A 26899-nucleotide genomic window follows, 5' to 3' on the forward strand; every position below is an offset into this window, starting at 1 on the left:
ACACATTGTTCCCTCCCTACTCTCTGTTCCCAATGCGACTCATCCCAAATCCTCCTTCTTTCTCTCCCGCCTGTTCTCTCAGTCCCAACCCCAGGTGTCCTTGAGTCTTTCTAATCTTCCTTTTCTACAGACCCGTCTGACCTCTCCCCTCCTCCCCAGGCTGCCCCTCACCAGGCCAAGCCAGGTCCCAATTCTTCCTCATCCTCTACTCCCCAACCCTATAATCCTTTTATCACCTCCCCTCCTCACACCTGGTCCGGCTTACAGTTTCATTCCACGACTAGCCCTCCCCCACCTGCCCAGCAATTTCCTCTTAAAAAGGTGGCTGCAGCTAAAGGCATAGTCAAGGTTAATGCTCCTTTTTCTTTATCCGACCTCTCCCAAATCAGTTAGCATTTAGGATCTTTCATCAAATATGAAAAACCCAGCCCAGTTCATGGCTCCTTTGGCAGCAACCCTGAGACCACTTTACAGCCCTAGACTCTAAAAGGTCAAAAGGCCATCTCATTCTCAATATACGTTTTATTACCCAATCTGCTCCTGACATTAAATAAAACTCCAAAAATTAAATTCCAGCCCTCAAACCCCACAACAGGACTTAATTAACCTCACCTTCAATGTGTACAATAATAGAGTAGAGGCAGCCAAGTAGCAATGTATTTCTAAGTTGCAATTCCTTGCCTCCACTGTGAGACAAACCCCATCCACATCTCCAGCACACAAGAACTCCAAATGCCCAAACCGCAGCTGCCAGGGGTTCCTCCAGAACCTCCTCCCCCAGAAGCTTGCTACAAGTGCTGGAAATCTGGCCACTGGGCCGAGGAATGCCCAGAGCCCGGGATTCCTCCTAAGCCATGTTCCCTCTGTGCAGGACCCCACTAAAAATCAGACTGTTCAACTCACCTCGCAGCCACTCCCAGAGCCCCTGGAACTCTGGCCCAAGGCTCTCTGACTGACTCCTTCCCAGATCTTCTTGGCTTAGCAGCTGAAGACTGACAGTGCCTGATTGCCTTGGAAGCCTACAGGACCATCACAGACGCTCTGGATAACTCTCACAGTGGAGAGTAAGTCCGTCCCCTTCTTAGTCAATACAGAGGCTACCCACTCCACATTACCTTCTTTTCAAGGGCCTGTTTCCCTTGCATCCATAACTGTTGTGGGTATTGACAGCCAGGCTTCTAAACCTCTTAAAACTCCCCAACTCTGGTGCCAACTTAGAAAACATTCCTTTATGCACTCTTTTTTAATTATCCCCACCTGCCCAGTTCCCTTATTAGACCAAGACATTTTAACTAAATTATCTGCTTCCCTGACTATTCCTGGACTACAGCCTACAGCTGCATCTCATTGCCGCCCTTCTCCCCAACCCAAAGCCTTATTTGTGTCTTCCTCTCGTATCGCCCTACCTTAACCCACAAGTATGGGATATCTCGACTCCTTCCCTGGCAACCGATCACATGCCCATTACCATCCCATTAAAACCTAATCACCCTTACCCCACTCAACGCCAATATCCCATCCTACAGCACGCTTTAAAAGGATTAAATCCTGTTATCACTCACCTACTACAGCATGGGCTTCTAAAATCTATAAACTCCCCTTACAATTCCCCCGTTTCACCTGTTCTAAAGCCAGACAAGGCTTACAGGTTAGTTCAAGATCTGCGCCTTATCAACCAAATTGTTTTGCCTATCCACCCCTTGGTGCCAAACCCATATACTCTCCTATCCTCAATACCTCCCTCCACAATCCATTATTCTGTTCTAGATCTCAAACATGCTTTCTTTACTATTCCTTTGCACCCTTCATCCCAGCCTCTCTTTGCTTTCACTTAGACTGACCGTGACACCCATCAGGCTCAGCAAATTACCTGGGCTGTACTGCCGCAAGTCTTCACAGACAGCCCCCATTACTTCAGTCATGCCCAAATTTCTTCCTCATCTGTTACCTATCTCGGCATAATTCTCATAAAAACACATGTGCTCTCCCTGCTGATCGTGTCCGGCTAATCTCCCAAACCCCAATCCCTTCTACAAAACAACAACTCGTTTCCTTCCTAGGCATGGTTAGTGCGGGCAGAATTCTTACGCAAGAGCTGCGACCGCACCCTGTAGCCTTTCTGTGCAAACAACTTGACCTTACTGTTTTAGCCTAGCCCTCATGTCTGCGTGCAGCGGCTGCCGCTGCTTTAATACTTTTAGAGGCCCTCAAAATCACAAACTATGCTCAACTCACTCTACATTTCTCATAACTTCCAAAATCTATTTTCTTCCTCACACCTGACGCATATACTTTCTGCTCCCCAGCTCCTTCAGCTATACTCACTCTTTGTTGAGTCTCCCACAATTACCATTGTTCCTGGCATGAACTTCAATCTAGCCTCCCACGTTATTCCGGATACCACACCTGACCCTCATGACTGCATCTCTCTGATCCACCTGACGTTCACCCCAACTCCCCACATTTTCTTCTTCCCTGTTTCTAAACCTGATCACACTTGGTTTATTGATGGCAGTTCCACCAGGCCTAATCGCCACTCACCAGCAAAGGCAGGCTATGCAATAATATCTTCCACATCTGTTATTGAGGCTACCGCTCTGTTCCCCTCCACTACCTCTCAGTAAGCCGAATTAGTTGCCTTAACTCAAGCCCTCACTCTTGCAAAAGGACTACGCGTCAATATTTACACTGAATCTAAATATGCCTTTCATATTCTGCACCACCATGCTGCTATATAGGCTGAAAGAGGTTTCCTCACTACACAAGGGTCCTCCATCATTAATGTCTCTTTAATAAAAACTCTACTCAAGGCTGCTTTACTTCCAAAGGAAGCTGGAGTCATTCACTGCAAAGGCCATCAAATGGCATCAGATCCCATTGCTCTAGGCAACGCTTATGCTGATAAGGTGGCTTGACAAGCAGCTAGCTTTCCACTTTCTGTCCCTCACAGCCAGATTTTCTCCTTCACATCAGTCACTCCCACCTACACCCCCGCTGAAACTTCCACCTATCAATCTCTTCCCACACAAGGCAAATGGTTCTGAGACCAAGGAAAATATCTCCTTCCAGCCTCACAGGCCCATTCTATTCTGTCGTCATTTCATAACCTCTTCCGTGTAGGTTACAAGCCGCTAGCCCATCTCTTAGAACCTCTCATTTCCTTTCCATCCTGGAAATCTATCCTCAAGGAAATCACTACTCAGTGTTCCATTTGCTATTCTACTACCCCTCAGGGATTGTTCAGGCCTCCTCCCTTTCCTACACATCAAGCTAGAGGATTTGCTCCTGCCCAAGACTGCAAATTGACTTTACTCACATGCCCCGAGTCAGAAAACTAAAAGACCTCCTAGTCTAGGTAGACACTTTCACTGGATAGGTAGAGGCCTTTCCTACAAGGTCCGAGAAGGCCACCACTGTCATTTCTTCCCTTCTGTCAGACATAATTCCTCGGTTTGGCCTTCCCAACTCTGTACAGTCCGATAGTAGACCAGCCTTTATTAGTCAAATCAGCCAAGCGTTTTTTCAGGCTCTTAGTATCCAGTGAAACCTTTATATCCCTTATGGTCCTCAGTCTTCAGGAAAAGTAGAACAGACTAAAGGTCTTTTAAAAACACACCTCACCAAGCTCAGCCACCAACTTAAAGAGGACTGGACAATACTTTTACCACTTTCCCTTCTCAGAATTCAGGCCTGTCCTTGGAATGCTACAGGGTACAGCCCATTTGAGCTCCTGTATAGATGTTCCTTTTTATTAAGCCCCAGTCTCATTCCAGACACCAGACCAACTTGGACTGTGCCCCAGAAAACTTGTCATCCCTACTATCTTCTGTCTAGTCATACTCCTATTCACCGTTCTCAACTACTCATACATGCCCTGCTCTTGTTTACACTGCCGGTTTACACTGTTTCTCCAAGCCATCACAGCTGATATCTCCCGGTGCTATCCCCAAACTGCCACTCTTAACTCTTGAAGTAAATAAATAATCTTTACTGGCAGGACTATGCTGAATCTCCTTAGGCACTCTCTAATCAGATGTCCTGGGTCCTCCCAATTCTTACACCTTTAATACCTGTTTTTCTCCTTCTCGTATTCCGTTTAGTTTTTCAATTCATACAAAACCATATCCAGGCCATCACCAATAATTCTAAATGACAAATGTTTCTTCTAACAGTCCCACAATATCACCCCTTACCACAAAATCTTCCTTCAGCTTAATCTCTCCAGAGATTAAGCTTGGGAACTCTAGGTTCCCATGCTGCCCCTAATCCTGCTCAAAGCAGCCCTGAGAGACATTGCCCATTATCTCTCAATACCATCCCCCAAAATTTTCACCGTCCCAACACTTTACCACTAAGAAGACAGGAATGTCAGGCCTCTGAGCCCAAGCTAAGCCATCATATCCCCTCTGACCTGCACGTACACATCCAGATGGCTGGTGCCTGCCTTAACTGATGACATTCCACCACAAAAGAAATGAAAATGGGCTGTTCCTGCCTTAACTGATGACATTATCTTGTGAAATTCCTTCTCCTGGCGCATGCTGCCTCAAAAGCTCCCCACTGAGCACCTTGTGACCCCCACCCCTGCCCGCCAGAGAACAACCCCCCTTTGACTGTAATTTTCCTTTACCTACTCAAATCTTATAAAATGGCCCCACCCCTATCTCCCTTCGCTGACTCTCTTTTCGGATTCAACCCGCCTGCACCCAGGTGATTAAAAGTTTTATTGTTCACACGAAGCCTGTTTGGGGGTCTCTTCACACGGATGCGCATGAAAAGGTAAAAGAGAAAAAAAGAGAAACGAAAACAGGTGGAACAAAGAATAATAACCCTCATGAATCTAAATATATCAATAATTTCAGTAAATGTGAGCAAACTAATAATACTCGAATTAAATCAGAAGAGTTATAGAAAGGAGAAAATAAAACAAATCACAATAAAATCTTTATGCTGCTTTTAAGAGGTCTTAAACATAAGGTACTAGAGAGACTAATGTATGAAAGATAGAGCATCTGTAACATTCATCTCTCAATTAGTTCAAAATTTTACCTACCACAGACACGTGAAAGACTTTTGCTGCCCCCTACCCTTCATTTCATGATTAGCACCACAAAGGAATTATAGGTGGTAGCTAGTCAGATATGAGCAGAGCAGGAGAGGACTTCCCCCACCCAAACACACACACCAGGAACGTCGGGTGACCATCAAGTGATGGTCAGGCAATTGTTAACTGTCTCTCTAAAATAATAATTTGTCACAGCCAGCACCAGGGAAAGGCAGTCTCCCAATAGATAAAAAATCCTGAAATTGGTGACTGGCAGCTTCTCGATAAAATCTCAAGAGTTGAGTAAGTGGGCTCAAGCCTGCACACTATGGAAATATTTTGCAGACCCTGTGCTTGATGGATCAGCTGGCACCACTCAGACTGATAAATGGTCTCATCTGGTCTTGTGGCCCCCCAACCCAGGAACTGACTCAGTGGAAGAGGACAGCTTTGACTCCCTATGATTTCAGCTCTGAACCAACCAATTAGCACTCCTGACTTACTGGCCCCCTACCTACCAAATTATTTGCACACTAAGAGGCAAAATGGTGGATGACCTTCCTCTAGGAACACTGGCCTAGTAAGGGGAAAATGCCTCAAGTGAGCATGGGTAAAACTCCAGTAAGCACACTGCACATGTTCCCCTCCCAAACCCTAGCAGGCCACTGCACATGCGGACAGCGCACCCCAAGGGAAGAATCAGGGGAAAAGAGACGCAAGACCCCAGAAGTATGCCAATGTATAAAACCCCAAGTCCAAATTCAAACAGTACAGTTGATCTCTCAAGTTGCCTACTTGGCCCTCTTCTAAGTGGGCTTTACTTTCATTCATTCCTGCTCTAAAACTTTTTAATAAACTATCACTGCTGCTCAAAACCTGCCTCAGTCTCTCCTTATGCCTTATGCCCCTCAGTTGAATTTTTTCTTCTAAGAAATCAAGGATTGAGGTTGCTACAGAACCATATGGATTTGCGATCAGTGACATGCTTTGGTGACGTGACTTGGATATGATTCTTAGTGCTAACAGGATGACCTGGCACAGTATTACAAAAGCACCAGTTCTCTAATCCTAGATGTTTTCAAAGAAACATGCTTTACAAAAGACTTTCACTGTTGAAGACAGATATTGAATGAAATCAATTTTTAAATAGCCTTCCTCATGAATTTGCAATAATTGCTTAATTTATCATGTGAACCTATTATATATTAGGTTCACATGATATTAAACCTACAATAAATTTAACCTATAATGGTTAAATTTCACGATAGAGCTGATGATAAGCTTTTGGTAGCAGAGACGTTTCAAAGCAGCTATTTTCTTATTTAAATGTTTTATTGTATTTTTAGAATTACATTCAACCTGTGGTTCCTTTCGAAGTGATTCTTTAAAACCACTTGATCATTTCATTATGATAGTTATTTAAGTCTACTATCTAAAGCCAAGTTAATATAATTAGTTATAAGGAAATTATAATATCTCACAATATAATGCATTAGAATTTATAAAATCTAAAATCTGCATATTAAAAATATAAATAGGAATAGATTAAACAGAATTAGCAAGATTAAAGAGTATAGCTAATAATTATGGAAAGTTAAACACTGCATGTTTGCACTTATAAGTGGTGGATAAACAATGGGTATACATAGAGATACAGAATAAATAAAAAAGCAAGTAAAGTTAAACATCGCATGTTTGCACTTATAAGTGGTGGATAAACAATGGGTATACATAGATATACAGAGTAAATGAATAAATAAAAAAACAAGTAAAGTTAAACACTGCATGTTTGAACTTATAAGTGACATATAAACAATGGGTACACATAGATGTCAGGACTTTGAGCCCAAGCTAAGCCGTCACATCCCCTGTGACCCACACGTATACATTCAGATGGCCTGAAGCAAGTGAAGAATCATAAAATAAGTGAAAATGGTCGATTCCTGCCTTAACTGATGACATTACCTTGTGAAATTCCTTCTCCTGGCTCAGAAGCTCCCCCACTGAGCACCTTGTGACCCCCTGCCCCTGCCTGCCAGAGAACAACCCCCTTTGCCTATAATTTTCCACTACCTACCCAAATCCTATAAAACGGTCTCACCCCTATCTCCCTTCACTGACTCTTTTCGGTCTCAGCACGCCTGCACCCAGGTGATTAAAAAGCTTTATTGCTCACACAAAGCCTGTTTGGTGGTCTCTTCACAGGGACGTGCATGACAATTAGACATACAGAGTAAATGACAGATACTGGAGATTCCAAAAGGTAGGAGGGTGGAGAGGGGTGAAGATCGAAAAATTACTATCTGGTAGAATATTCACTAATTGGGCAAAGGGTGCTCTAAAACCCCAGACCTCACAACTACACAATATGTCCATGTAACAAAACTGCCCTTGTGAAACCACCTTTGCAAACATTCTATCAGCGAGAACATTATGGCAGTGGGGAAGATCTGATCTAGCCAACCCCCTGTCTCTCGCGTTTAGCTTTCAAGCTGCCTTAATTATTTCTGGGCTTAGGCCAAGCTAGCTTTGGAAGACATTTACGTTATAGTTTAAATGATAATAGCCTTCCCCAAAACTCAACTGCCTTTGTAAAGCTAATGAGAGACCACCAGGCTAGGGGGAACTCAGGAGCCAGAATTCTGCTAGGGTGTAGACTGCTCACAAGATATGCAACTTCCCCGCTTGCTTACCCCTACAGATAACATCACTATTGTGGATCTGCCTTTTGAGAAATCTTTTCAGGTTTTTTGCATGGCTGACACCTGATGGCTCCATTTGGACTTGGCAAACCACTCCTGGGGCCCCACCCAGGAGTGACTCATCTCCAGAAGACAGCCTTGACCCCCTGTGATTTAATCTCTGCCCCAACCAATCAGCAGCAAGCACTCATTTCCTAGCCACCTCACCCCTTCCTGCAAACTGCCTTTGAAAATACCTGTAACCTAAGAGCTTTTGTTGAGATTGATTTGAGTAATTACTTTATCTCCCACATGGCCTGGCTGGCCTCATGTCTAGTAAACTCTTTCTTTACTGCATTGCTGTGCTTTTTGTACAGTGGGCAGGAAGACTCTTCAGGAGGTTACACTTATATGCTTTAAGCTGTTTTTTTTTTTTTAAAAAAAAAAAAGCTCTTTAAAGCAGATGTTCAAAATTATGTATGGAAAAACAGAAAGAATGATCATGGATTATTTTACATAAAATATTAATGCAACCTATAGAATGGTAGAAAATGCAACCTATGGAATGGTAGACAATATCTGCAAACCATATATCTGATAAGGTACTAATACAAAAATATAAAAGAAACTCACTCAGCTTAACAGCAAAAAAAAAAAAATACCTAAATTAAAATGGGCAAAGAACCTGATTAAACATTTATACAAACAAAATATACAAATGACAAATAGGTATATAAAAAGGTACTCACCATTACTAACTGAATGTACATCAAAACCACAATGAAATATTACTTCATACCTGTTAGAATGATTATGATGAAAAAGACTAGACATGACAAATACTGATGAGGGTGTGGAGAAAAGGGAATCTTTGAACACTGTTGGTGGAAATCTAAATTGATACACCTGTTATAGAAAATGATATGGAGGTTCTTCAACCCAATAAAAATAGAAGTACTATATAATTCAGCAATCCTATTTCTGAGTATATATCCAGAGAAAATCAAATAAGTATCTCAGAAGGATATCTGCATCCCCATGTTCATTGGAACATTATTCAGAATGGCTAAAATACGGAAACAAGTGTCCATGAATGAATGAATGAATGGATAAGGAAATCATAGTATATGTATGCAATGCAATATTATTCAGCCATAAAAAGAATAAAACTAATTTGGAACAACATAGATGAGCCTGGAGGACATTATGCTAACACAAAAAGACAAATATTGCATAACATAACTTCTATATAAAATCTTAAAAAGTATAACTCATAGAAGCAAAGAATAGAGTGGTCCTTGTCAGGGGATGAGGAATGGAGGAAACAGATGTTACTCAAAGCACACATTTTCAGTTATAAGATGAACAATTTCTGGGGCTATAATGTACAGCATGGGTGATAGATGCATTAAATAAATTTGTTGAGGGTAATCATTATACAGTATACACATATATCAAATCATCACATTGTTCACCTTGAATATATTCAATCTTTGTCAATTACATATTTTTCTTAAATAAAAACTGTTCAAAGTTGCTCAGCTGATAAGCAAATATCAAGTGTTTAGAGGTGGGTGCAATGCTTACAGAGTTCTTGCTATTAAGCACAATTCTGTCTCTTCTATCTCTCATTCAGATGTATTATTATTATTTTAAGACAGCATTATACTCAAATACCTTAAAATGGTCGGCAAGGTAGTACACAAATTGGCATCATCTCCCTTCATGGCCTGTTATCTTGCTTATCACAGTGGAGTCACTGTGATTATATTGGTCCTGCTAATCTTGCAAATGTGAAAAAAAATTCCTGTTTTGGGACATTTTCTTTAGCTGTTTGTCTGTTGGGAAGCCTCTAACTCCTGATAGCTACTTATCACTTGACCAATTTCCTCCCTTTCAATCTTTACTCGGATGTTACTTTTTCCATGAAGCTTAGTCTGGCTATTTTACACAGCCAGCACTCATAAAACCTATCACTACTGCTACTGCTACAAGTCTGATTTTCTCCTCTCTTTCTCTCTCCTCTACTCCAAATGTATGTGTGTGTGTGTGTGTGTGTGTGTTTATCTTCTAGCATATTATCTGATTTGCAAAGCCAGGTAGAATCATAACTTAAGTGGTTGCTAATAGATCATGGATTTTCAGAGGCATCATAAATAGAAGCCACCCAAAGTGCTCCCTAATTTGCATAATTATAAAGCCTTGACAGCCAAGAAGCAGGTATCTGATATTACCCATGACAAAACTCACAGTCCACTTATTTCTCAGGTCAGAACCCACAGTGCCAGAGATCAATATTTGTGGAATAAATAGCACTTTGAGGAAGATCTCTGCAACTTCACCTAAATCTATGTATTAATTATTTCTCCAATTCTTTTCAAATAGATAGGTAATGGTTTTCCAAGGCAAATATATACTTAGAAAAGTAAATATCCTGACTTTTTAAGGATTCCGATCCTTACAACATATAAAATCCAAACTAACACTAATGCCTAGTGACTCAAAACATCATCACAATCCAAAATTAGAGTGGAAACTAATGAATATTAAAAAATAAAGTTTTCAGAAGGTGCCTAAAGGGATCTTGAGTTAATTGTCCTGGTTCATCAACATATAATTGGACAGACATAGTTACCAGAAGGTTGAATACTAGCATTTGTTCTTGATCTATAGAAGAAAGCTTATTGCAGTAGGAAGAACAAATGGAAGCCCTTAAGACTGTAAACCAATTGTGGCGTGATAGTAACAAAAATCGCTGGTGTGTTATGGAAGGGATTGTAGAGGTAAATGTTACCAACATAGATGTGAAATCTGAAAAGGCAATTGTCCTATCTCATCTCTGTTGAATTTATCTATCTGTTCTCTATAAATTTAGCTGTATCATAGCAAATGACTACATATTGTCATGAATTTAGTCATGTTGTAATCTCAAATTTAACTGTTGTGGAGAATGTAATATGTTTACTGGAGTAATTCACAAATTTCAATTACTGCACTGTACTTGATATATTGGTATTTATTTACACAATACTCTCATGTCCATGCTCATCATTAAGAATGATCAAAATATGTGACAGAGACAGCAATATACTTTTATTCATTTAAGTCAGTACTATCAGCTCTCCAGGTTTTTGTGCTCATATACTTCACAGGGATATTATTTATATTATCATTCTGTAGATCTTTACAATAGATAACTGAAATTATGACAGCATGTTAATTGAATATCATGTTAATTTGATAATATTAACTCATAACTCAGAAGTTGTAATTAAACAAGAAAACTTTGTAGGAAATATGTGAAGCAGAGGTTGGAAAATAAACCCATGGAGATTAGGATGTCTGCCATTAGGTGAAGTTTTAGGATCCAGTCATCAGGAACATATAATGATATTTCTGCTAAGGTAAAAAATACAATGCTGATTCTTGTATATCATACCACTAAGAAAGATGCTCAACAACTGTTGAATTTCCTTGCCTTTAAGATGTATGACACATTGATGTTGAATATGCTATGTCCTATTATTGAGTTATCTGGACAGTTAATGTTTTGAGTAGAGTTAAGAGCAAGAAATGACTCTATATCAGGTCCAGGCTGCAGTGCAAGTCATTTTACTTTTGGAGTACTATGATCCCATGGATGTGAGGTAACTAAAAGAATCGGTAGATAAGATATTGTGATATTTCTGGCAAATCCCAACAGAAGAGTTGAAGCACAGAACTTGTATTCATTATCTGTTGCTGTGTAAAAATTACCTCAAATCTCTGTAGCTTTAACCAATAAATGTTTATTATCTCAGTGTTTTTTTTTGGGTCAGGATTCTATCCATGGCTTTGCTAGGTGTTTATTCTTTCTCTCACAAGGTTCCAGGGCTGGTCACATCTGAAAGCTCAAGTAGAAGAAGGGATGTACTCAGGATTATGTACACTGCCATTGCCAGTTTCCTATTAGCTTTTGGAATGACAATCCTAGTTTCTGATTAGTTGTTAGTCAAAGACCTCTCTTGCCATGCAGGTCTCTCCAGAGGGCAGCTCTCAGCATGGTAGACAATTTTTCTTCTGAACAAGTGAGAGAAAGAGACTGAGAGAGAGAACACAAGATGGAAGCCAGAATTGGTTTGTAACCCAATTTCAGATGTTATATCTCATAACTGTCAAAGCAGTGTATTTTCTAGAAATGAGTCACAAGATCCAGTCCACACTCAAAGGGATAGGATTAGACATTGGGAACAACAGGAGACATAAATCATTCATGGGCATCTTAGAAGCTACCAGCTACATATATCTTAGGGTTTGGGGGCAAAGCCATCATGACTTCTGCGGTAGAGAAATATCTTCTGTGAAAAAAATGAATATGGTGTTCCAGTAGGACCTCAGTACAGCTGATGAAATAATAATGCTATGTTAACTGACCATACTCCTTGTGCTGCCTATTAGGAAGTAGATGCTATCTGATTTACTGAGTCAAAGGGCTGAGTGGAAATATGAATGTCTATAATCAAGACTTAAAAGGTGACGCCTTTGCTGTTAGCACCATCTAAACATTAGGATTATCTGTTAGCACAGTGTTCTACACATTATCTATGACCAAACTTTCCATTTTACAGAAAAGGAGGTGTGATAATAAGATCATAGAAATCTGATTTTCTTGTGTTTCAATGTAGCCAGTAACACAGAAATAACCACCCTGATATACATTGGATTACACTTCTGAAGACTTGGCTAAGGGACTCTGCACTGTGGGGGCATTATCTTTCAGGATACAGCATGCATCTGGGATCAAATAAAAGTCACTGTGTTACTTAGAGCTAGTATACATAGTTCCTGGAACTTAGATGTGGAATTGGTAATATGTCCTCTTGCTAAAGCATCTGGTGATTTTTATTCTAAATATTATAATCTCAGTCTTTGCTATTTTAGATATATTCATTACTGAGGGTGGTGTTAGGGATGATTCTAGCAGAATACACAATAATGGTTTCAGCAAACTGGAAGTTATGAAGATTACCTGCCCAGCACTGCATTGGTTGAAGTAATTGATTCTGATTGCCAGGAGGAGATATGGTTGCTATTACACAATGTAAGCTGGGAGGATTAAATGTGAAACCCGAGATTCATTGTAACATTACTGCTACCTCCATATGTGATAATGACTAGGTATGCCAAACTATTATAATCCCAAAACCAAGTACAACTGAGAGCACTTGGAGAATGATAGTCTGGATTATCCTGCCAGGCAAACAACTTATCAGGTGAAATATGGAGAGCGAATGGCATTTAAAGGTGCAATAGAGAAAGAAGATTATTAGTATTAATTGCAGCCTTAGGACCAGATGCAGCAATGGAGGCTGTAGTTTTTGTTATTAGCTCTCTCACCTTAGCCTTTCAGAAAATTACACATGACCATCACTTTGAGGGAAATCCTTTAAATTTAAAACTTTTTGTTTCCCTTTGGAAGAATAAAAGACATTTTATCCTCATAGGAAATAATTGAGGCCAGATTTTATAGTTTGTCACCTAATTATAAAGAAGGGGCCAAAAAAAAAGGACCTAAGTAGAACATGGGATGGATACATTGGATACAGCCTGTGCTCCTCATTTTTCCTAACCATTGTTGTCTTTCTCTTTTTTAATTGATTATCCACCTATGCCAGGTCACCACTCTGCTTTCAAACCCAGAAAAACTATAAAGCAGAAAGTGTGGTGTACCAGACACACCACTTTCCTATCCTCTTGCATATGTGAGAGACCAGAGTGAATTACTACCCTCTCCCCTCCAAGCAGACTTTGACAAAACACTGATGGAAATAAACATACCTCTTTGATTGGGATAGCTATGAGCTGTGATATGAGTTTTACATTCCTTCTTCCAAATTCTGTCAAGGATTAAAAAAATCAAGTCCTGCTTAATGGTGGCTTATGACAACATACTCTTTATCAGCTGATTTCACTTCTCTATCTGACTTTACACTTCTCTACTGGGTCTCAAACCTTCAACATAAGCCACTTGCAATTGAACCTTTGTCTTAAGTTGTGCTCAAGATAAATGGCATCTGGTGTCCTGAGTAGCTGTCAAGGGACAGTCAAAATTAGGAAATAGGAAGAGAGGGAACTTCACAGTGACACCCTCCTGGCTTTATCTCTTTCATAGACAGGTTCAAGATGCATTTTCTTTTTTCAATCATTTTATAAAACTCCCACATGACAGCCAAACACACTTGCATTCTTTCCATGGCTAGTTTCCAAGTGTATGCCAACACTGAAATGTATCTCATCACAACGCTTAATATCTTTCCTTGCCATATACTTCTCTTTTCCATTTCAGCTAAGTTAAGGGTTTCATCTTTGGGATTAAAATCTGTAATACTTTAATAACTTTTGTCCACTTTATGCTTTCATCTAAGACATCTATAACCAAGACAATTATGGATTTGCATTCTGGGCTATAGATTTTAATATGCAACTCGATATCAATACGGACCATCAGAAATATTGTTCAAAGGAAATGACACAACCAAGGTATTAGAAAATTCTAAATCTTATATGATATGTATGATTCAGCTGCAAAGTCTGACAGTATGTGTTTAATACACACAGGGAGACTAATTTTTGTCTCTGGCTAGCCTTAAATATGGTCTGAGTCACATAACCTGTAAAATGAGGTATAATACATAATATGTTTAGATAATAAGTAAAGTTATAATTATGTTTCACAAAATAAACATTTTCTAGACAAACTTGAAAATGAATTAATATATTAGACAATGATAACTTTACTTAACTTCATTGTTTTGTACTTGAAATAATAATTCATTTTAGCATTTCAAAAATTATTAAAAAATAGCTAGCGTTATTATTCACCTCATAAATAGATAACAGCCATCAGGTGTCCTTAGATGTTACATCAAATTTATAAAATAGGCTGGGCATGGTGGCTCACGCCTGTAATCCCAGCACTTTGGGAGGCTGAGGCAGGCGGATCACCTGAGGTCAGGAGTTAGAGACCAGCCTGACCAACATGGTGAAATCCCATGTCTACTAAAAAAAAAAAATGCAAAAATTAGCCAGGCGTGGTGGGGCACACCTGTAATCTGAGCTACTCGGGAGGCTGAGGCAGGAGAATTGCCTGATCCCTGGAGGCGGAGGTTGCAGTGAGCCGAGATCACATCATTGTACTCCAGCCTGGGCAACAAGCGTGAAACTCCGTCTCGGGGGGAAAAAAATTATAAAATAATCTTTGTGTTATCAGGTTTCCACTCAATCTATAGTTCCTCAATGTTAGTCTATGGAGCATAAGCAAATAATTAAAGATACATATTTTCTATATACAAAATAAAAAAATTATTTTACTGTATTATGATATATTAGATTATCTTTATTAAATATAGTCCAATTAGATAGTAGTGCATATGTTATTTAAAAACACAAATTTATATCTACCCATATTGTGTATGTACTTATTTCTGCCCTTTTCCAGAAAAATTGTAAAATAATATACAGAAATGAATACAATTTTATGAAATAAAACAATCAAAATAAATATTGATGGTATTGATGAGGGTATAGGGTAAGAAAATAAGCTAGAATTGAAAATGCACAGTGGAGACATAAATAAGCATAGATAAAAATCCAAAGCAAAATCATATGGATTTTATATCAATCCCAACAAAACATGAGGAGTAGACTTTTTCCAGTATTGATTCTAAGACTTCATAAAGATATTGCAGGAAAAATTATAGTGAAAACAAAAAAAGTGAAATCTGTTATAAAATTCATCACGGTAGGCCACTAGCAAAGTTACTAGGAATTTCAAGAGTTCTAATTTTTATGCAAATTAGTATTTGGGGTTGTAATCTAGGATTTGGAACATAGGTGGACACATACTTGCCATTTGATATTTATTCTGTTCTTTTTTCTTGCTAACAGAAATCGGATATTGTTTTTCTTTGGAGAGGGAATGCATTCCAATTAAAAAAGAAATTCCAATTCCAGCTCCTGAGTAATTGACCTTTTCTGCTGCTATTTTTTAATATTAAAAAGAGTAAGTAAAAATTGTCGCTATATATTCTTTTACATTCTTATGTGTACAATGTAAGATAACAAACAGCACAGGGATTATAAACTGAAACAAAGCAGAATGTGTGGATTATAATTTAGTCTGTTTGATCACATAGCTTCAGGCCTAGGTTGACAAACAGTAACTGCACTTAATTAAGAGGATCTAGTTTTGCCTATTTGTTCAATCCTTTCAGTTCTTCCAATTAGTGAATACATACATCCACACAAAGAAAGGGTGAAACATTCCTTTTTCGGTATGAAAATATCAGAGGCTTTCAGGAGTTTACTAAAGGAAGGTTTCTATTAATGTTAATAGATGAAAATGTTATAAAAAAGAAGAGGATTATCTGAGCCAATGATTCTATTTGCATGTAAAAAAAGAAATAAAACAAAGCACACACACATCAATTTATATATTTTTATAAACAAGCTTGTGAGAAAATAAAAATTGAAAATCTGTTTTGATAATTAATATCATATTCACATTTTACATTACACCAGATTTCCTATGATCGAAGTTCTGTGTTAATTTTACAAAAAGCCTTCATATTCCCAATGATTTTTAGTTGAGTGTGTAGAAAATATAGGTGAAAATAAGTATTTCTTGATGATGATATTTACATTTTACATCACACAATTTTTAAGAAATGTCAAACACTGAGTGTAAAGTTATGAAAAAAATCTCAAAATAGGTACACTATCAAAATATTACGATTGGCACAATGAATTAATGTATGAGTTCATTAAAACTGCAAAAAATTAACTCACTTCCATATTATCCTAATTTGACAATTTTTGTTAAAATAAGAAATGCTTGAGATGTATCATAATCCTTTTAGCTCACTTATAAAAAAGTGAGATTTTGAAATTAGTAATATACAAGTTATAATGTCAAGTGATATCTTACTCAAAATGTATGCTATTTAGCCAATGAATCATTTTATGAGTGAGTCTTTAATTGTAATATTTAACACAGTATGTAATTTATTTGAACTTAAATCCTGATTCTTAGCAATTCGTTTTGCTACAGATTAAATATTATGCAAATTTACTTGGTTTATAGGTTTTTATTTAACAAAACCATCTTTGTGAGTGATTTATTTACTACTTCCACATGAAATAAATAATTGTGGAAATATTAACCATAATGAACACTGATAAATTATGTACTTAGGAGAAAATACATCTAGTTCCTGTTAAGTATTTTGTTAACTTAAAATTGCTTCAAAAAATAAATTCTGTTAATTTAAAAAACAACAGAAAATATGCTAATGCTTGCCTGACACCTCTAAGTTCCATTCTTAATAAACATGTTAAAGTAAATATGCCAAAACTGAACTTTTCACTTTTTCCTACAAAACTCTTTCTTCTACAGCTCCTCATTACTTATGCAAATTTTGGTAGCTGGCTTAAATTTCTCCCTGGAAGATGTTTTTTTTTTCTATTGCATCATCAGTCTGCAAATTTCCAAAACTTTTATGCTCTGCTTTCTTTTTAAACATAAGTTCCAATTTCAGACCATATCTTTGTGAATACATACCACTGAATACTCTTAAGAGCACTCAATCACCTTTTGAATGCTTTGCTGCTTAGAAATTTCTTCTGCAAGACATCCTAAAACATCTCTCTCAAGTTCAAAGTTCCACAGATCTCTGGGGCAGAGACAAAAATGCTGCTAGTCTCTTTGTTAAGCATAGCAAGAATTACCTTTATTTTAGTTCCCAACAAGTTCCTCATCTCCATCTGAGATCACCTCAGCCTGGACTTTATTGTCCATATCACTATCAGCATTTTGGTCAAAATCATTCAACAAGTCACTAAGAAGTTCCAAACTTTCCCACGTCTTTCTATTTTTTTCTGAGCCCTCCAAACTGTTCCAACCTCTGCCTATTACCCAGTTCCAAAGTTGCTTCCACATTTTTGAGTATCTTTATAGCAGCACCCCACCCTCTGCAGTACCAATTTACCATATTAGTCACTTTTCACATTGCTATGAAGAAATACCCAAGCCTGGGTAATTTATTAAGGAAAGATGTGCAATTCACTCACATCTCTGCACTACCAGGGAGATCTCAGGAAACTTACAATCATGGCAGAAGGCAAAGAAGAAGCAGACACCTTCTTCACAGGGTGGCAGGACAGAGCTAGTGCAAGTAGGGAAAATGCCAGATGCTTATAAAATCATCATATCTCATGAGAAGTCACTCACTATCATGAGAACAGCATGAGGGAAACTACCCCCATGATCCAATTGCCTCCATCTGGTTCACCCTTCACATGTGGAGATTATGAATATTACCATTTGAGAGAGATTTTGAATGGGAGCACAGATCCAAACCATAGCACTGCCTTAAGGTATCTAATAATCAAACTCCCAAAGGTCAAGGGAAAAGAAAGGATTCTAAAAATAGCAAGAGAAAAGAAACAAATTACATGCAATGGAGCACCAATATGTCTGGCTGCAGATGTTTCAGTGGAAACTTTATTGGTTTAGGAGAGAGTGGCATGACGTGCTAAAAAAAAAAAAAGAAACAACTTTTACCCTAGAAAAGTATATCCAGTAAAAATATTCTTTAAATATAAAGGAGAAATAAAGACTCCCAGATAAACAAAAGCTGAGGGATTTCATCAACACCAGACCTGTCTCACAATAAACAATAAATAGAGTACTTCAATCTGAAATAAAATGATATTAATGAGCAATAAGTAATCCCCTGAAGATAAAAAAAACTCACTGGTAATAATTAGTACACAGAAAAATACAGAATAATATAATACTGTAAGTATGGTATGTAAACTACTCTTATTCTAAGTAGAAAAACTAAACAATGAACCATTCAAAAACAATTACAACAACTCTTCAATACATAATCAATACAATAAGACATAAATAGAAACAAAAAAATTACAAAGCTTGGGGACAAAGTTAAGCAGTATAGCTTTTATTAGTTTTCTTTTTGCTCGTTTGACAGTTTGTTTATGCAAACAGTGTTAAGTTGTTACCAGGTTAAAATAACAGGTCATAAGATAAGATTTGTGAACCACATAGTAACCTTAAACCAAAAAACATACAACAGAGACAAAAAAATATAAAGCAAGAAATTGAATTATAACACCAGAGAAAATCACCTTCACTAAAGGAAGACAGGAAGAAAAGATAGAAGAGAAGATCACAAAATAACCAGAAGACAAATAACAAAATGGCAGAAATGAGTCCTTACATGTCAATAATAACATTGAACATAAATGGACTAAATTCTCCAATCAAAAGACAGAGTGGCTGAATGGATAAAAAGCTAAGATGCATTGATCTTTTGCTTACAAGAAATACACTTCATCTATAAAGTCACATATATATTGAAAATAAAGGGATGCAAAAATATATTCCATGCCCATGGATATAAAAAAGATTAGGATTTGCTATATTTATATTAGAAAAAGATTCCAAGAACAAAACTATAAGAAGAGAAAAAGAAGGTTACTATGTAATGATAAAGGGTTACTGTATAATGATAAAGGGTACAATTTAGCAACACACTATAAGAATTTTAAATATATATCCACCCAACAGTGGAGCAGCAAGATATATGATGCAAATATTATTAGAGCTAATGACAGATAATAGGCCCCAATATAATAATACCTGGATACATCAACAACCCACTTTCATCATTGGACAGACCTTTCAGACAGAAAATCAACAAAGAAATATCTGACTTAAGCTGCACCATAGACTAAATGAATCAAGTAGATATTTACAGAACATTTCATCCAAAGGCTGTAGAATACACATTCTTCTCCTCAGAAGGTGGATCATTCTCAAGGAGAGATCATATGCTAAATCACAAAACAAGTCTTAAAATATTCAGAAAAATAAAGTAATATTAATCATCTTTTCTGAACACAATGGAATTAAACTAGAAATTTATAACAAAAGGAATTTTGAAAACTATACAAATACATGGATATTAAACAATATACTCCTGAATGACCAGTGGGTCAATGTAGAACTTGAGAAGGAAATGGAAAAATTTACTGAAACAAAATATAATGGAAAGAGAACACACTAAAACCTATGGGATACAACAAAAGCAGTATTCATAGGGAAGTTAATAGCTATAAGTGCTTACATCGAAAAAGAGGCAAATGTCAAATAAACAATTTAATGATGCATCTTAGAGAACTAGAAAAGCAAGAGCAAACAAAAGTCACTGTTAGTAGATGAAAAGAAAGAAAAAACATTACAGCGAAATAAATACATTTGAAATGAAAAAAACAACATAAAAATCAATGAAACAAAAAGTTATTTATTGAAAAGGTAAATGAAATTGACAAAATTTTAGGCAGACTAAGAAAAAGAGAAGATCCAAATAAATAAAATCAGAAATGAAAAAGGAGACATTACAAATGATACTGCAGAAATTCAAAGGATCATTACTGGCTACTGTGAGCAACTATATGCCAATAAACTAGAAAATCCAGAAAAAATGTACAAATTTCTAGACACATGCAACATACCAATATTGAGCGAGGAAGAAATTAAAAATCTGAACCAACTAGTAACAAATAAGAACATCAAAGCTGTAATAAAAATTCTTCCAGTAAAGAAAAGCTTGGGACTTGATGGTTTCACTGATGAATTCTACAAAACACTGAAAGAAGCACTAGTATCAATTCTACTCAAAGTGTTCCAAAAACAGAGAAGGGAATACTTATAAATTCATTCTGAGGCCAGGGTTACCCTGATGCCAAAACCACACAAAGACACATAAAGAAATAAAATGACAGGCCAATATTTATCATGAATATTTATGTAAAAATTCTCAACAAAATGCTAGCAAACAATACATTAGAAATTGTGACCAAGTAAGTGGAATTTATCCCTGGAATGCAAGGATGGTTCAGTATATGCAAACCAATCAGTGTGGTACATCATATCAACAGAATGAAGAATAAAATCATATGATCATTTCAACTGATGCTGGAAAATCACTTGATAAAATTCAACATTGTTTCATAATAAAAACCCTCAAAGATCTGGGGATAGAAGGAACATGCCTCAACATAACAAAAGCATATATGACAGACCCACAGCTAGTATCATACTGAATGGGGAGAAACAGAAAGCCTTTTCTCTACAATCTGGAATGCAACCAGGATGTTTACTGTCGCCACTGTTTTCAACATAGGACTGGAAGTCCTAGCTAGAGCAATGAGACAAGAGAAGAAAATAAAGGCCATACAAATTGGAAAGAAAGAAGTAAGATTATCCTTGTTTGCAGATTATATGAGCTGATATGTGGAAAAACTAAAAGCCTCCACCATAAAAACTATTAGAACTGATAAATTCAGTAAGGTTGCAAGATACAAAATTAACATATAATAATCAGTAGCATTTCTACATGTCAACAGTGAACAATGTGAAAAATAAATTTAAAAAGTAATTACATTTACAATGGACACATATAAAATTAAATATCTAGAGATTGAAGGTGGCAGAAGCCCATCTGGAGCAGCTGCTGCAAAGACACCAGCTGCAGCAGGGGAGGCAAAGCCTGGGCTACACACTCCGAAGAGCTGGCAGGGGCAAGAAACAGGTGATCCCAGTGGGAGCCCTGCAGGGCAGGAGCCCAGATTCTTGGGCACGGCTGCAGCTGCCCAGCTGCAGGCCCAGACCCAGGCCATCCCTAGAGGCCCAGGAAGCTGCCTGCTCCCATAGGCTCAGAAGTGCCTGCTCCCACTGTCTGGCCTCTTCCTCCTACAGGCACCTGCTCTGGTGTGGAGCAAGTTGTGATTGAGCCTGGATACTATTGAGACCCAGCTGGGTGTGCACGCACTCAGGGCACTTCTGACATGACAGCCCACTCTCACCTTGGCCCCCTTGGCCACACCAGACATTGGGCAGTGATGAGCATGGGACAGAGGCGGGGGAGCTGAGAGCAGCTCAGCACAGGCCTCTGAGTGCCCCTCGTCATGGACAGCCTGGGCACTGTGGATGACATGTTGATGTCAGCGGAAGGGAGACAGGTTCATAGGAAGTAAGAGGTTGGTCTCTGGTGAAACCCCACCTTCAAGCCAGGATGGACTGAAACCTTTGGGCCAGGCTGCCAGATCTGGGGAGAGTCTGTAACCCAGAGTAAGAAATTCATTGATGTCTTTCAGCCAATGGTGCTTTTTCCAGGCCTGCTCATAGCTGCTCATGGGCCATTTAGCATGAACTTCCTCCATTCTGAGCACATAAAAAACCCAGACTTAACCATACTCAGACACTCTCTGGGAAAACTTGCCTGCAGAAAGGAGCTACTCATTTTGGGTCTCCTGAGAGCTGTTCTGTTGCTCAAAAAAGCTCCTCTCTGCTTTGCTCATCCCCTAGTTTTCCCTTGTAACCTCATTCTTCCTGCACATTGGACAAGAACTTAGGAACTCATGAACGGCAGGAGCTGTAACAAGTTTCTGGCTGGCTCACCAAGCTTCAGTCAGTGACACACTTCCAGACTGTGGGAGTGAATAGCGGTGACACTTCTGGGGGCCCAGACCTCAGGGTTCCCCAGGCCAGATCTACTGTAACACTATAACCCTCTTGCCCTCTGCTGGCACTGGGTGGCTGCCCTACATAATGGGAAGTAGTGGCAGGGCTGGGCCAGCCCAGGAGTCATGGGTCAGAACAGGACAGCAGGACTGAAAAAGCTGTAACACAAATGGGCTAAAACATGCTCCACTGAAACACCCCCACACCCCGCTTGTCACAATTCAGGCAGTTGAAAGGAGAGAAGAGTTCCAGGCTTTCTGGAGGCCCAGACCTTGGGGCTCCTAAAGCCTGGGCTGTAACACATGGTAAAACCCTCTTTGGACTCTGTGGTTCCTGGTGTCTCTGAGCTTTCAGGTGCCATCATGTTTCCTCGTGCCCATGGCGGAAGCCACTTTTGGTACACCTCATTCAACTGCAGCCTCACACAGAGCTGGTGCCTGTGCCAGTTCCTGGAGCTGCCCACCCTTCCTCAGCTGGCACACCTGGCTGTGTGCAGTGGCTGGACCCTGCACTCACTTGCGCATACACCCCTTGCCATTCTGTGCCTGGTTTGCCCTTTTCAGGTGCGGGATCCAGATGAGTGGTGCAAGCTGAATGCAGCCTGCTGGGCCAAGTGGGCAGAATGAGCCCGGTGGGCATGAGCAAAACCCAAGCAGAGGCGATGCCAGCCACAGAGGTTCCTAGCTGGTGAAGTGACATCCTAAGGATCCTGTGACAAAATTAACTTAACCAAAGAAGGGAAAGATCCCTATAATGACAACTATAAAACGGTGATGAAAGAAATTAAAGAGGACACCAAAAATGGAAAAATATTCCATGTTTATGGATCAGAAGAATCAGTATTGCTAAAATGTCCATACTACTAAAAGCAATCTACAGAGTCAATGCAATCCCTGTAAAAATACGAGTGACATTCTTCACAGAAATAGAAAACACAATCCTATAATTTATATGAAACCGATATAAACCCCATATAAATTCTAAAGTTTATGCGACTATTATAAAGACCTGTAATAGTCAAAGTCACCCTAAGCAAAAAGAGCAAAAGTGAAAGAATCACATTACTGACTTCAAATTATTCTGCAGAGCTATAGTAACCAAAGCAGCATGGTACTGGCATAGAAACAGACATGTAGACTAATGGAATGGAACTGAGCAACCTGAAAGAAATCCACACACCTACAGTGAGCTCATTTTTTATAAAGGTCCCAGGAACATACAGTAGGGAAAAGACAGTATCTTCAGTAAATGATGCTGGGAAAACTAGATATCCATATGCAGAATAATGAAACTAGAAACTAGACCTTTATTTCTCATTGTATACAAAAATCAAATCTAAGCCTTAAATGTAAGACCTCAAACTATGAAACTACTACAAAAAAAAACTTTGGGGAAGATCTTCAAGATATTGGTCTGGGCAAAAGTTTCTTGAGCAATACACTAGCAACCAAAGCAACAATGGACAAATGGGATCACATCAAGTTAAAAACCTTCTCCACAGCAAAGGATACAATCAACAAAGTGAAGAAACAACCCACAGAATGGTAGAAAATATTTGTAAATTACCCATCTGACAAGGAATTAATAATCAGAATTTATATGGAGCTCAAACAACCCTGTAGGAGAAAATCTGATAATCTGATCAAAAAATGGGTGAAAGATTTGAATAATTATTCCTCAAAGGAAGACATAAAAAAGGCAAACAGGGATATGGAAAGGTACTCAATATCATTGGTCATCAGAGAAACACAAATGAAAACTACAATGAGTTATTATCTCATCCCAGTTAAAATGGCTTATTTCCACAGCACAGGAAATAAATGCTGGCAAGGATGTGGACAAAAGGGAACCCTCATGAACTGTTGGTGGAAATTAGTACAATCACTATGGAGAACAGTTTGGAGGTTCCTCAAAGAACTACAAATAGAGTTACCATATGACCCAGCAATTCCAGTCCCAAAGAAATGAAATCAGTATGGTTCTGAGAAAACTGGAAATTCATATGCAGAATAAAATTAGACCCCCATCTCTTGCCATACACAAACATCAGATCAAAATGATTTAAAAACTTAAATCTGAGACCTGAAACTATGAATCTAGGAAATCAGTATATCAAAGAGATATCTGCAATCCTATGTTTGATGCAGCACTGTTTATAATAGTTAATATTTGGAAGCAACTTAAGTGTCCATCAGCAGGTGAATGGATAAAGAAAATGTGATGCATATACACAATGGAGTACTATTCAGCCATTTGAAAAAATGAGATCAAAATTGGAGATCATTCTTTAAAGTGAATTAAGCCAGTTACAGAAAGGCAAACATCACATGTTATCACTTGTGGGATCCAAAAATCAAAACAATTGAACTCATGGACACAGAGAGTAGAAGGATGGTTACTGAGGCTGGTAAAACAGTGGGAGGGGTGTAGGGGAAGTAGGGATAATTAATGCATACAAAAATAGAAATAATGAATAAGATCTACTATTTGATAGCACAACAGGGTTACTATAGTCAATAATAACTTAATTGTACATTTTAAAAGAACTTGGGTGTACTTGGATTGTTTGTAACTCAAAGGCTAAATGTTTGAGCAGATGGATACCCCATTCTTCATGATGTGCTTATTTCACATTGCGTGCCTGTGTCAAAACATCTAATTATATATATATATACTTACTATATACTCACATAAATATATATACTTACTATATACTCACCAAAATTGAAAATTAAAAAGTAAATACTACTACTGGTATAAAGTGGTAATAACTGGGTATATTATTTGCCCCTACCTGATCGCTATTCTGATTGATAATTTTTTCACACAGTTATTAGCCATTTCCATAAACATTTCTTCGTGTTCGAATCTTTGATTTTTGTTCCATTAATATCTTTGTACTTTATATTATGAAAACAATGCTTTTATTACATGTGTTGAATATGTAATTTCCATATTTGAAATATTGTATTCTTTCACTTTATTGAGGTTTAAATAACTAGATATAAGTACAAAAAAAGGTATTGATATGAACATACAAAAAGTTTATCAATTAAAGGGATTTTAAGTCAAAATTTTATGTTTTAGGATATTTTTAGATTTAAAAAACCCTACCTTGACATATTTAGTAGATTGTCCTACTTTTTTTCAAACATGTTATTTTTTTTTCTTTTTGCAATTATACCATTAATTTATTTGTAATTGATTTTTATTAGATCTAGTGTAAGGTAGTGACATAAACTATTGTCATTCATGCATAGCCAATAGTACTAACAATATTTATTAAACAGCAATATGCTTACTAGAAATTGAAAGTGCTAGTTCTGGCATATGTCAAGTTTATGATCTGAATGCATGCAATAGTGGCTTCATTTCCTGTATCATTGATTTCTTTGTCATGTCATGCTGTCTTAATTACTATAGCTTTGGAATAAATTATGTTATTTTGATTTAAATGTTATCTAATATATAGAACAATTTAGGAATATTTAAATATATTTGATATGAAAAATTACTATCGGATTGCATGCCTCAAATTAAACATTGTCTAATGTCCTTCAGTAAAGTTACGTGTGTCTCTCTCAAAAAAAGTGTTCCATATCTCAGAATTTTCCTAAGTATCTAATTTTTGTTGTAATTGTAAAAAAAAGACCCACCTCATCACACTCACAAATTGTATTATTTAAATTACTGTTTAAAATTTCATTTGTAAAGCAAATATATGCCAGGAAAAATGATAATTAAGCTGTAGAAAATTAAAGAAAACTAAAACAACAATAAAACCTTGAAAGCAGGCTGAGAGAAAGAACATATTATCTATAGGGAATCATCATTTCAAAAGATATGTGAAAAATATATATATCTTGGGCTCCTTCAAGCTGGGAACCATTCAGGACAAATCCACCTTTTCTATTCAAAGTCATAGTTCCTCTGCTCACAGAGATAGATGCATATTGTGATTGCCTCCTTTGGAAAGACTTATGAGAAACTCAGAAGAATGCAAGCATCTGTCTCTCACCTACCTGTGACCTGGAAGCCTCCAGTGGGAGGGCCTTGTTTTGAGTTGTATTAGCCTTTCTGGATGGAACTAAAATCGTTTTTACATATATTGATTGATGTCTCATGTCTCCCTAAAATGTATAAAACCAAGCTGTGCCCCAAACACCTTAGACACATGTCTTCAGAATCTCCTGAGGCCGTCACAAGCGTGTCCTCAACCTTGGCAAAATAAACTTTCTAAATTAACTGAGATCTGTCTCAAATTTCCTGGGTTTGCACTTATGTGAAACCATGGAGGTCAGCAGGAAGTGGCAAGATATTTTTCAAATGGTTAAGGAAAAGTGTTGTCAACTGAAAATTGTATATCCAACATCACTGTACTTTAGGGAAGAAAGAAAAATACAGGTATTCTCAAACAAAGATGTAAAATACTTGGTAGTAGGCCTGAAGACTGGCTAATGGAAATTTTTCTAACAGAAAGAAAGTGGTAGAAGCAGCAAACTTGGAACATTGAAGGAAGAAATAAAATAGAAAAAGAAAAAAATGATTATTTATAAGAGGCTGTCCTCTTGAGTTTCACAAATCATA

At 37.8% G+C, this 26899-nt stretch overlaps 3 annotated features.

Annotated features, from left to right (window-relative positions):
* Positions 6809-7496: an enhancer, noted in NCBI's record as "OCT4-NANOG-H3K27ac hESC enhancer chr13:82448600-82449287 (GRCh37/hg19 assembly coordinates)". NCBI's record gives its function as "activates a minimal SCP1, AML or CMV promoter by ChIP-STARR-seq in primed H9 embryonic stem cells {active_cell/tissue: H9 hESC(primed)}" and the evidence as "EXISTENCE:reporter gene assay evidence [ECO:0000049][PMID:30033119]".
* Positions 7497-8183: an enhancer, noted in NCBI's record as "OCT4-NANOG-H3K27ac hESC enhancer chr13:82449288-82449974 (GRCh37/hg19 assembly coordinates)". NCBI's record gives its function as "activates a minimal SCP1, AML or CMV promoter by ChIP-STARR-seq in primed H9 embryonic stem cells {active_cell/tissue: H9 hESC(primed)}" and the evidence as "EXISTENCE:reporter gene assay evidence [ECO:0000049][PMID:30033119]".
* Positions 21420-21920: an enhancer, noted in NCBI's record as "H3K4me1 hESC enhancer chr13:82463211-82463711 (GRCh37/hg19 assembly coordinates)". NCBI's record gives its function as "activates a minimal SCP1, AML or CMV promoter by ChIP-STARR-seq in primed H9 embryonic stem cells {active_cell/tissue: H9 hESC(primed)}" and the evidence as "EXISTENCE:reporter gene assay evidence [ECO:0000049][PMID:30033119]".

Source organism: Homo sapiens, chromosome 13 (assembly GCF_000001405.40).
Source record: "Homo sapiens chromosome 13, GRCh38.p14 Primary Assembly".
Lineage (NCBI taxonomy): Eukaryota > Metazoa > Chordata > Mammalia > Primates > Hominidae > Homo > Homo sapiens.